The sequence below is a fragment of the Homo sapiens genome, chromosome 18 (assembly GCF_000001405.40).
Source record: "Homo sapiens chromosome 18, GRCh38.p14 Primary Assembly".
In the NCBI taxonomy this organism is placed as follows: domain Eukaryota; kingdom Metazoa; phylum Chordata; class Mammalia; order Primates; family Hominidae; genus Homo; species Homo sapiens.
The window spans coordinates 73,636,830-73,649,886 of NC_000018.10; the positions used below are offsets into that span (position 1 = coordinate 73,636,830).

General features: G+C 36.2%; 1 long non-coding RNA gene across 2 annotated transcripts in view; it reads right to left on the minus strand.

The window, feature by feature from the left end:
- LOC105372190 (uncharacterized) overlaps window positions 1-13,057 on the minus strand; it is a 312,925-nt gene that overhangs the window by 258,463 nt on the left and 41,405 nt on the right. For both annotated transcript variants that reach the window (XR_007066468.1, XR_007066469.1), the window contains exon 4: window positions 10,742-11,567. This is a non-coding gene — a long non-coding RNA (uncharacterized LOC105372190). The remainder of the gene's footprint in view (window positions 1-10,741; window positions 11,568-13,057) is intronic.

Consider the following 13,057-nt stretch of genomic DNA (forward strand, 5'->3'; position numbering starts at 1 on the left):
ATATGATTTTTTCTTAGAATAAATTCAAACACGCTTGTCAAATGCTTTGAACATTCAAACAAATACACACACACACACACACACACTCCTACTACAATCACCACAAGAAACAACAACAATAACTTAAAATTTAACCATGATTCATGCTTATAATGTGTAGTCAACATCCCTTAGTTCAGATTCAAAACTTGGAAATTTAGGTGTCAGAAATTTAGAGTAACAAGTAACAACCTTCTAAAAAATGACTGGGATGCACTTAAATTCTCTTTAAAATGAGTCAAATATCTCCTAAGCAGATATTTTAAAGGGGATAACTTTGTATAATAAAAAGGCCTCAGGCCTTGAAGTAAAATAAACCCAGCTGAGACACCAGCATTGCCACTCACTAGCTTTGAGAGCTTGCTTCTACTAGGCCTGCTACTTAATATCCCTATCCCCTTATTTGTCAAAATGAAGATAAATGTACCTACTTCAGAGGGTTAGTGTAAGATGTAAAGATGTGATATACAGAATATACCTAACACTGTATCACACGCTAGTAAATATTACTTTCCTTCCCTGACCCTGATATTTACTCATAGGGCTGAGAAAATATTGGCAACTCTCTCAACATAATCCATTGTAAGTACACACTTCAAAGAGCTGAGGAAAGAAGGTGAGTATTTATATAAAATGTGTAAATGAATATAAAACATAATATAGAGATACATACATGTAAATAAATTAAAAACAAAATATGTAAACCTATAAAATGTACAAATGAATATTGATTACATGATAGCTCGCAACTTTTTAGCAATACCTGGAAATAATGAATATATTAGACTAATGAAAGTGTTTACTGTTAAAAACAGCTCAGGAACAGCAGATGGTACGGCTATAATTTGGATCCTAATCCAAGGCCTTCTCAAATCACAGCAGGAATCAGGTAAACTGATCAAGATTTTCCATAAGACACACAAGAGGAATGGGGGATAAGGAAATCCCGCAGCACACCAACAAGTTCCATACCCGCTGATATATCTGTCTGTGCTTCTAATTTGTGTTCTTTCCTTTGCCAAATTTCAGGTATCTCTTGGGCATTTGTCTAAGGAAAAAGCAGTACCCCCTGTGTTGAAGGTGACTTCTTCAGTGTAATGAGACTGCTTTGAAAACCAAACACCCGGGAAGAATGTGGAGTACGTGTCTGAACGATGCCAAGATGCCTCCTTGACACCACGCTCTGTATTTCTAGGCAGTTGTGCCAATCAATTGTTCTTGAATATTTTTCACTAATTTTAAAATCTAGATGCTGATCTATTTTATAGAATTAAGGAAACATGAAGGTCTGGATTTTTTATAAAAATTTACATTTATACAAGGGGACTCAAATTACATAGAAATGCTCAGCATACAATTTTGCAGAGGATCAAAATGGTAGAGGTCTTCCAGTGTTATATTTTTATAATACATTTCTCAGGAATTTTAATAAACATCATTAATAATCTGCAAAAAAACTGCAGTCAAAAATCCATTGAATAAACTTTATATAAAAAAGTACATTACAGAAATGAGATTTTTACAAATATTTAACAGCCCTTCTTACTTCAACACTAAACTCTGCAAATTATCCTTAGCTTTTAAAATGTTTTCACATATACTCTAGACATATAGCCAGACATTCATGTTAATTTATGCATATTGTAAAATGCAAAAAATACTAATAAGCATGAAAATTGCCATGAAGATAAATGGGAAATATATTTTATAATGGGAATGTAGATGTATCACAAGTTGATAAATGTGTTACCTATTTAAACATCCAGTTTGAGCACAGAAAGGCTCGCATAGATATTGCACAATTTACATATTAAAACAATTTATCTCCCCAAAATATTGGTGTGTACTTTATAAATTATCATTTACAAAGAAATTATATATTCTTCCCTGCTGAATTATCAATATATTCACAGCAAATGCTTTATAAGTAGTCAGATAGTCAGTTATTTCATCTTAATCACTGATACCCCTTTTTACTATTCTTGTTGCCTTTAAAACCACAAAGAAGATTAAGTACAGCTTCCTGCATTCCTTTCATGGGAATATTATGTTTTAGAGTCTGTTCACTGGTTAGGAATCCAGATAATAGCATTTGAAGCACAATCAAAAAAAGCATATAGCTGTTTATTTGTAGCTCTAATAAAACATCTGCCTGCTCTTTTTAAATTAGTAATTTCCTACTTAATGTACAGTTCATACAATATTTTAGACACATTTAAACTTAAAAGTAAATACCAATGCAGCATCACTGTTTTAAGATGCTTCATAAATATGTTGCAGATTTCTATTTTAAATGCATGTCAGGTTATGCCTCCAGGCTACGTAAAGAAAAGATACTGAATTTCTTATAGTTGAAGAGTGGAAGAAAGAAAATATCCAACTTTTCTTTGCCCACCTTGGATGTGGTTTCTCTTATTGTTTCTCTCTCTCTCAGATATTCCCAGTAAATCTTAATTTTCTTTCTTTGCCAATGAAACCCCTCCTTTGTAAATTTCAAAATAACTGGAAGAAAAATTTGGAATGTTCTCAGTACAAAGAAATAATAAATGTTTGAGGGGGATGGATATTCCAACTACCCTATTTGATCACTACACTTTTTTTGTTTGTTTTGTTTTTGAGATAGAGTCTCACTCTGTCACCTAGGCTGGAGTGCAGTGGTGCGATCTTGGATCTTGGTTCACTGCAACCTCTGCCTCCCAGATTCAAGCATTTCTCCTGCCTCAGCCTCCAAGTAGTTTGGACTACAGGCACATGCAACCAGCTCACTACACATTTTAGGAATGTAACAAAATATTACGTGTACCCCAAAAGTACAACATTACATATAGAGTAAAAATTATTTAAACAGCAAAATCGATGTGACTGATCCAGTGTCTGTATCTCCTAGGCATGATGATCTCCAAAGTGTGCAGGTGATTTATATAGTTCAGAGCAAAACTCTCAAGGTGACCCACTGAGATACAGGGAGGAAATATTAAGCCTCTACTCATTTCATCTGAAGCGTAAGGTACCCAGGAAGCTTCACTACTACATGAAGCACAGTTTGACTGGGGCATATCCGCTTGGTTCTTGTGTCACCTGGGCTCAGACCGCTCCTGGTGCAGCATGTCCCAAGGGAAGAATGCGAGTGCCCACCGCAAGGGGCTGCTCGCTGGCTCTGTTGCTGCACTTGTCTGTTTCCTTAAAGTTTACAGTTTAGGTGCATCCATGTAAGAGGATTTAAGAGGTTGTGCAATTTAATTTCAGCCAAATCAATCCCTACAAAGCAATTATTAGTTAAAGAAGATTCCTGAAAAGGAATCATAAAAGGTAAGACTAAAAGATTTCTGAAAAGAAACCATAAAAACGTAAGGCTAAAAGTGGATGCCCAGGCAGGGCTGATAGATCCTCCACCAGGAGGGACACATGCAGCTCACAGACCAGAGCCTACTCCCACCAATATGGTATCCATTCCAAAATCTGGGCACTGTTGGGATTGGTTATTAGAGATGTTATGACGTAAAAAAGACAGAACTTGATCCACTACAGTTAATGAGAAACTTCATCAGCTTCACACTGAACTAAGTGGCAATCTTGTCTTCATCAGATCTGCTACGGAATCAACCAAACACTTATTATCACTAATAGAAACATGGATTTACGCCCAAGATTATAAACAGTAATAGGGCCCTAAGTGTATATTATGCTGTGAGTTACTATTGTCGTATGATTGTAGGAATCATCACATTTATCACACAGAGCTTGTGCTGTGATTATTAAAAATAGGCACACAGAGCATGAAGACAATTATCTATGACTTTTTGGCAATGCTTACAAAATTTTGTTAAATCTTTATGTTAAATATCTACAAGTGCCATTTGTGGTTTGCTAACATTATTATCATCCTATATTCATATCACTTGTAAATATTTTTAAATGTATAATCAAAAGGAACATATGATTTTTTTTTTTTTTTTGAGACGGAGTCTTGCTCTGTCACCAGGCTGGAGTGCAGTGATGCAATCTCAGCTCACTGCAACCTCTGCCTCCCGGGTTCAAGCAATTCCCCTGCCTCAGCCTCTCAAGTAGCTGGGACTACAGGCACATGCCACCATGCCCAGTTAATTTTTTCTATTTTAGTAGAGACGGGGTTTGACCATATTGACCAAGACAGTCTCGATCTCCTGACCTCGTGATCCACCTGCCTCAGCCTCCCAAAGTGCTGGGATTACAGGCGTGAGTCCCTGTGCCCAGTCAGAACTTAGGATTCTTTTAAAATATTTGGAACACTGTTCTATGTCATTGATGAGGAAACAACTTTGATGTAAACCAGGTGACCTTGTTAAGAATCAAGATTCCTGGCCTACCCTTAGAGAATTCTGGTACAAATCATCAGACGATCCCATTCTGAGAAACATTTTTATTGAACAAACTCCTAATTTGTCCCTTTCTTTCTCTCCTAGTTACAGCATCTTTGTTTTCAAGAAGAATTCAAAAGAAAAATGCATCTAGTGGTGCATTATTCCAACGGCTGTTGCCATTTTTCTATTGGAAGTCACAGAAGTAAGGAAGGGGTACGATAAAGAAAGGCATGCTGGCAGAGACCTAACCAGGGTGATTGGAATGGAAGAAACACAAACAATTTGGCTTCCCCAAACCGTGCTCTCTGAAGGAAACTCTCACCATTACAGGAGCAGATGGCTCTTCCCATGGCTCCCATCACTCTGTAGATGTAAAACTTGGTTGAGAATCTCATGACTAGATAACAATCATTTTCAAATGGTAGAAAGCCAGCATACGCAGAAGCGTGCACAATAATTCAAAGTCATATTTGGTTCTGGCTGCTTTCCTTTGGAAGATTGCTTTTTTCCATGTGTATTAGAAAATACTTAAATATGAGGGTTGTTTTTATTTTTTTAAAGATAATATTTAGTTTTAAAAGGTTAATTGATGGCCATTACTGGAACATCGAAGAGTCCTGCTCCATTTTATGCCACCTGTCTCTGCCAAAATGGCAATGGCCTTGGGCAATTATGTGAAATCATAGAGTTTCATGTTGAAATTGAAAAATAATTTATAGATTTGAAAAATATAGTTACGGCATTTAGTCCAACTAGGAAACTAAATTTAGAATCAATTGCACAGCCAATTGAAATAAAGCAGGATTATAAAACATAAGCTATTATGATAAAAAAAGGCTAACGTTTGCTCAACTCAGCTTTATTGTATAATCATTTTCTGGCATCAGACTTCCCAGAAAAGGCTGCATGAGCTGGGCAAGTCACTGGGCCTTGGTTTGCTTATTTTTATGTTGATAATAATAATAAAACACTCAACCCACAAAATTGTTGTAAAGATAAAAATGAAGTCGTGTTTATGAAAGTATTCTGAAGTATGTATGTTTAAAGCCCTATAGAAATATTACTTTTACATATACATAAAATGAGAAGATTGAAATTTTTTACATTTAAAAAATAATTTTGAATGCTATAGATCTGTTATAGCTCTATTACAGAAATCATTGAACTTAAAATTAAGAGACTTGCATATTAATAACCAACATACATTTTGCTAACTATGGAACTCTATGTAATTAACATTCTTAGAGTTCTCATTTATAAATATTTCCTTCCTAAATTACAAATATATAATTGGCAGTAAACCTTATTATACGTTATTCAAATTTCTTGAAGTTCTCCAATGCTCCTCATTATTTTTAAAATTATTCTTTAAAAAACATTGGGGAAACTACCCAGGACATTAGAGTAGGTGAAGACTTCTTGAGCAATACCCCACAGGCACGAGCAACCAAAGCAAAAAGGACAAATGGTATGACATCAAGTTAAAAGGTTTCATGAAAAAATGCTCATCATCACTGGCCATCAGAGAAATGCAAATCAAAACCACAATGAGATACCATCTCACACCAGTTAGAATGGCGATCATTAAAAAGTCAGGAAACAACAGGTGCTGGAGAGGATGTGGAGAAATAGGAACACTTTTACACTGTTGGTGGGACTGTAAACTAATTCAACCATTGTGGAAGTCAGTGTGGCGATTCCTCAGGGATCTAGAACTAGAAATACCATTTGACCCAGGCATCCCATTACTGGGTATATACCCAAAGGATTATAAATCATGCTGCTATAAAGACACATGCACAAGTATGTTTACTGCGGCACTACTCACAATAGCAAAGACTTGGAACCAACCCAAATGTCCAACAACGATAGACTGGATTAAGAAAATGTGGCACATATACACCATGGAATACTATGCAGCCATAAAAAATGAAGACTTCATGTCCTTTATAGGGACATGGATGAAACTGGAAACCATCATTCTCAGCAAACTATCGCAAGGACAAAAAACCAAACACCGCATGTTCTCACTCATAGGTGGGAATTGAACAATGAGAACACATGGACACAGGAAGGGGAACATCACACTCTGGGGACTGTTGTGGGGTGGGCGGAGGGGGGAGGGATAGCATTAGGAGATATACCTAATGCTAAATGATGAGTTAATGGGTGCAGCACACCAACATGGCACATGTATACATATGTAACAAACCTGCACATTGTGCACGTGTACCCTAAAACTTAAAGTATAATAATAATAAAATAAATTAAAAAGATTTCTGCACAGCAAATGAAAAAATCCACAAAGTGAAGAGACAATCCACAGAATGGATGAAAATGTTTGCAAACTATCCATCTGACAAGGGATTAATAGCCAGAATATATAAGGAGCTCAAACAGCTCTATAGGAAAAAATTGAATAATATGATTTAAAAATGGGCAAAAATCTGAATAGACACTTCTCAAAAGAAGACATAAAAATGGCCAACAGGTGTAGGAAAAGGTGTTCAATGTCACTGATCATCAGAGAAATATAAATCAAAACGACAGTGAGATATCATCTCACCCCAGTTAAAATGGCTTTTATCCAAAAGTCAGGCAATAACAAATGCTGAAGAGGATGTGGAGAAATGGAGAAAAGGAAACCCTGGTACACTTTTGTTGGGAATATAAATTTTTGCAACCACTATGGAGAACAGTTTGGAGGTTTCTCAAGAAAAACTAAAAATAGAGCTAGCATATGATCCAGTGATCCCTCCCCTAGGTATATACTCAAAAGAAACAAAATCAGTATATCGAAGAGATGTCTACACTCCCACATTTATTGCAGCGCTATTCACAATAGCCAAGATTTAGAAGCAACCTGAATGTCCATCAATAGATGAATGGATAAAGAAAATGTAGTACTTATATACATAATGGATTACTATTCAGCCATAAAAATAAATGAGATCCTGTCATTTGCAGCAACACGGATGAAACTGGAGGTCATTATGTTAAGTGAAATAAGCCAGGCACAGAGAGACAAACATCACATGTTCTCACTTATTTGTGGGATCTAAAAATCAAAACAATTAAATTCTTGGAGACAGAAAGTAGAGGGATGGTTGCCAGAGGCTGGAAAGGGTTGTCAGGAAGGTGGAGGTGGTAGTAATGGGTACCAAAAAGATAGAAAAATAAGACCTAATATATGCTAGTACAACAGGTGCTAGTAAAAAATAATTTCATTATTTTTATATTTCGTTAAAATAATTTAATTATTTTAAAATATGTGATGAAATTATTTTTATTTTGTATAGTAAAAAATAATCTCATTATACATTTTAAAATAATGAAGACTATAATTGGATTGTTTTTAACACAAAGGATAAATGCTCGAGGTGATGGATACCCCATTTACCCCGTTCTGACTACTATGCACTGTGTGACTGTATCAAAATATCTCATGAAATCCTATAAATATATACAGCTACTATGGACCCAAAATTTTTTAAAAAATAAAACTCATGTAACCCATAAATATGTACACCTACTATAAAAAAAATAAGAAAATTAAATAATTATTTAAATGTGACATTTAAAGAATGTAACATTTTTACATTGCTTTCATACATTGTTTCATACATTTCCTACATTGCTTTCATAATTGCATTAAGAAGCTTTATCCCAAGAACATGAATAGATTAATGTATAATGAAAACATGAGATCTTTGATCAAGAATATTATTTTAACAAATGGTGATTATTTGCTCAGAACAAAGGGTTCTTAAATTTATTCACACCCAGTTATGAAGATAAGGCTTTAAGGACACTGTGTCATGGCAAAATTTGCAACTTTTTTTGGCAGAGCAAATTTTGGATCTACCAACATTCTATCATACATTTTATATCTAAGTAACATCTAAGTCTAAGTCATCATAATTCCTCTGTGCATTCTTCTGTGTTCACCTGTTCTGCATCAGAAATTGCATGCATATTGTTCTCAGGGTTACTCCGAAATATGTGCTATAAAGATCAACACTGATGTCCCACAGTAAGTGTAAGACACAACATGTGCACAGCACAGACACATGGGAGAGAGTAACTGGAATCTTTGTCAGCTCCACTGCTGAAGCACTTTTGTCTCTAGTTACTAAAGGAAGAAAGAGAATCATAGACAAGTTGTTTATCATGAGACTGAAAAGGAAGCCACTACTAAGGAGTGTTAGAATCTAAAATGTGACTCATGCTTTTTACATTGCTTTCTCTTCCACCAAAAAAAAAAGTTATTTTGTAATCAGAATCCACCTTTTGTTTGATTTTGTGCATTCTTAGGCAATTCCATCTATTTCGTATATATTTAACTAATGCATTCATACCAGAGCTTTGTGTCTTTTTTTTGGTAATAGAATTTGTCTAGTAAAATATTTGGCTCTTGTTTAGAGTATTTTATTTATAGTAAAGAAAAGCCTTGTGAGGGATTGCAGTACCATGTAATTCATAAACTGCATTAGCATTAGTTCAAAGAGAGAACTGCTACTTCAGAAGCCAATATTCCATGATGTTAAAATTAGTTTGTAGCATTTGGAGAAGAAACAAACAGGTTACAAAACATTCTTATATCAAAAATAATGCATATTACAGTCAGCTCACTATACACAAGGTGGTGGAGACAAAAGTTAGGATCTTGGCGCCAAGATCCTAGGTGCCCCACAGGATTAAAGGGAAAATAAATCTTTAATTAAAGTGTCATTGGGGTTAATAATTTCTCTGTGTGGACCAATAACTAGAGAATGAAGAAATTCACCCCCCAAAAATTGAGTTGGACCTAATGGGCCATCCAAGAGGCAGCTGTGGAGCCCCTCTGCACATATCACACATCCTGTCTCTTAATCTCCGATACCCATCCACAGCTGCATATGATGGTTCACAGTGTAAGATGAAAGTGCATTAGTTGTCTGATGATTTACGATGACTTCCATTAACTAATTCAAAATAAATTGAAAACACCAAACCGTTAAATTGATACACTAAAGTAGATCATTGTTTCTGGGTCCAAAAGTTGAGTTAACATTTTTTTCTCTTGCCCAAATTATTCTGTGTTTATTTTCTCTAAACCCAGAACACGACTGCTCTGCATCTTTATTTTAGTTCTTCTTTTGCCATGAAAACTGAAATATGATGCCCATTGCTTCCTCCTGCTATTTCCCAATTGCTCTGAGCTAGATGTTGCGACCGGCCTTCAGGAAGCTGGCTTCCTGGTACACTTTTTCCCTATAAATCTGCCCAGACAATGTTCTTTCTCCATGCACTTTCCTGTCCCAACAATCCACACCTTAACACATGAGCTCAAAAACACACCATAAACCACCCCAAGTCTTCTCTTGTGTCACATTTGGAGCAGGTGTGTTCCATACACCTCTCTCAGCCATTGACATTACAGCGTCCATTTAGTACCATACTCAGACCCAACTCTGACATGCTGTCATTTCACATCTTTGTTCACCCAAAGATCTCCAAACCAGCTGTACTATTTAAATCATAACACACTTTGAAGCTGAACAATATTCACAGTTTTTATCCTGTTTCCTTCATTGTTTCTACTGCACTTTTTTCTCCAATAGCCACTTCTTTCTTCTCTACGATCAAATCAATCAGGCACTTGGATGACATTCCTACAACTTCCATCACCTTTTCCTACCCAGGATGTGAATCACAGCAAAAAGTCCCTGGACATCATCCCAATACTTAAATTACTAATGCCTTCAAAGCTTTGTCTTTTTCTCCTTAAGACATTTTCAAAAGCAGATAAAAATTCCTCTCTCTTTCTGAATGACTCTACCCACTGAATTGTTTCTGATGACGGTGTTGTTTTACCTTCAGGTGCTCAGACACATGGGACAAATGATTACAGGTATTACCATGCTATTACTGTGCCTACTTTATACCAAGTAAGGCGTGCATTTACCCAGAGTCCCAGAGGCAACTACAAAGAAATGATAAAAATCCAGGCTCCTTGCCTCCCAGCTCTCTGACAGCCTTGTAGGATGTGCTCTATTTGTTTCTACAAAAGGCACACACCTTATTTCATAAATAACTATAAAAATCAAAACGTTGGTGCTAGTAGTGGGAGTAGTGGGCAGATATAGGTTTCACTTGTCCTTTTTCTAAAATTACCATATTTGAGGACTTTATTTAAATAATTTCTGGGCCTCAGTATATTTTTCTGCAAGATAAGCAAGTCAGCTCAGATTGTCTCAAGAGACCTTTCTGCAAACAGCCTATCTGTATATGTCTGGTTCCTTACATTTGCAGTCAAAATCTCAAGCAAGATCAGAACATTAGCAGCACAGATGGCCAGGGTTAGCCACGTCATGTCTTACCATTAAGCAGAGTGAAATCCACTGGTTCATATGGAAGTAGATCTCCATTATGTGGCCGTAGTGTCTTGCTTGACAAATGGAATGTGGTTTCAAATCACAGGACACATTTCCTGCATATCACTGGTCTTCAACCCGGACTTCATCTTGAGTCACTGGGGGAGCTTTTACAGAATCCTGATACGTGGAATCTCGTCCCAGTTCAATTCAGTAAGAATTTCTTATGTGTATTTTAGAAGGTTCACAGGTAATTTTTGTGGAGCCAAGGTTGGTAACCGGTGTCACATACTCTACAAGTATTCTGGAGTGAGGCTCACCCCAGTCTCCTCTGCTCCTGTGGACCAGCTCAGAGAAAAGCAAGTAAGTCTCCCTCACCTCCTGCCCATGGGCCAGTCCCTCACTTGGAGCCCACAGTGGACATCAGCAGCCCTGCTTGCTCTTTCATGTGGAGCTATGGAAACTAAGATCCTCTTATACGTCTTCCGAAAGCTCCAGGGCATGCGGAGAGTAATGTCCCATCTTCTTCCTGGTACAATGTTCCACGGCTCCTTTTCATCTTCCCCTTTTGGACTATACCAGTATTCCAGTATTCCAGACCTTTTAGAAGTCTCTAACCAGAAGCAGCTGCCAATTTATGGAAACACAAATGTCCCCATACTCCAGGAGACACATGCTCTTCTAGACATTTATGCCAAGGCAGACCTGTTAGCTCAGCAGCCTTCTCATAGAGCAAAAAGATGCCAGCCTCCCATTTTGGCAGGTGAACTTATATTCTCTAGGGTAATTCTCCTGGTGTGGTTCAAAATATTCTTTCTTCTTCCCCCTAAAGCTAGGAGAGGAAAATGCATTCCTAAGCAAACTTCTCTCTGTATCTATTTATTTTTAATTGACAAATTTTATATATACATATATACACATTATATATTATATATAATATATAATATTTCTATTAAATATATATTTATCATGTACAGCATGTTGTTTGGAAATATGTATACATTATGAAATAGCTAAATTGAGCTAATTAACATGTGTTACCTCACATGTATCATTTTTGTGGTGAGAACATGTAAAATCTATTATCTTGGTAATTTTTAAGAATGCAACACATTCTTATTAGCTATAATCGCCATGTTGTACAAGAGATCTCTTGAACTTAGTCCTCCTAACTGAAATTTTATACCCTTTGACCAACGTCTCCTCACCCCTGGGGCCCCCAGCCCCTGGTAATCTCCTTTCTACTCTCTACTCCAATGAGTTCAATGTTCAAGGAGTCCTAAGGCTCACTCAGCTCTCTCTCCTTCCCTCAAGTTCTCTGCCCATAAGGATGTGTTTGCAGTGCCTGTGGCTGCCTCTGAATGAGCTTTAAGGAGTAGCTGGCCCCATTTTTTTAGCTCTCTTAAGGATATAGGAATACTAAATGCCTTCTATTTCTCCAGTTTTGATTCTAGATGCTAATTCTGAGGAAAGAGGAACACCACCCTCAACATCCTGTTAAACATAAAGAGCTCTTTTATAAAACTGATGCTTTTCACTATAACATTGATTTTATTAGAGTTGCTGTAAAATCTTGCCTAAGACCTGCCCACCTTTGTGTTATTTTACACTACCGTAATCTAGAAAAGGAAGAGAATTTAGATGATAGTTCATGCCCTTATTTTAGAGGCATAAACTATCATCTAGTTCATGATACTTGATGAGATTCAAAACGGAGAAATAATTTGCCAAAATTATATAGTGGCAGAAATGGGAGCAGTTCACAAATATGGGTCTCCCAACACAAGGCTCAGCACACTCCCCATAACACAGAATGAAGTGGTCTTGAGCCCATACATATCAGGAGAACTTTCTTGTAATCAGAGAAAATAATGTTTTATCAGATTCTAAATAATTTATGAGGCTCTGCTGGGTGTGTCTTTCAAGTTCTCTTAGGAAATGGTTACTTCTGATTTTGGAAAAAAGTACCATGTGTTAATGTTAAAAACAGACACAACTAATTGTAACTCATATGGCAGTCTTTACAATATCTGTCTGTTTTGATGTAGAAAAAAGAAGAAACAAAATTTCCCCTCTGAGTAAATTTTTTCACATATGTATAGAAGATTTGCCTGTATTCAAATATGTGTTTTGGTATTTTCTTTAGCTACGTCCATGAAAAAAATCAGTATAATAACTTCTAATAATCAAGTAACATTAAACTTTTTCTACTTTTTGTCACTTAGTCTTATATAATTTGTACATTTAGAGCTAATCACTATTAAAACTTTTTATTTTAAACAAGAAATCTATCATGTTTTTGTAAGTCATATATCAACCTGT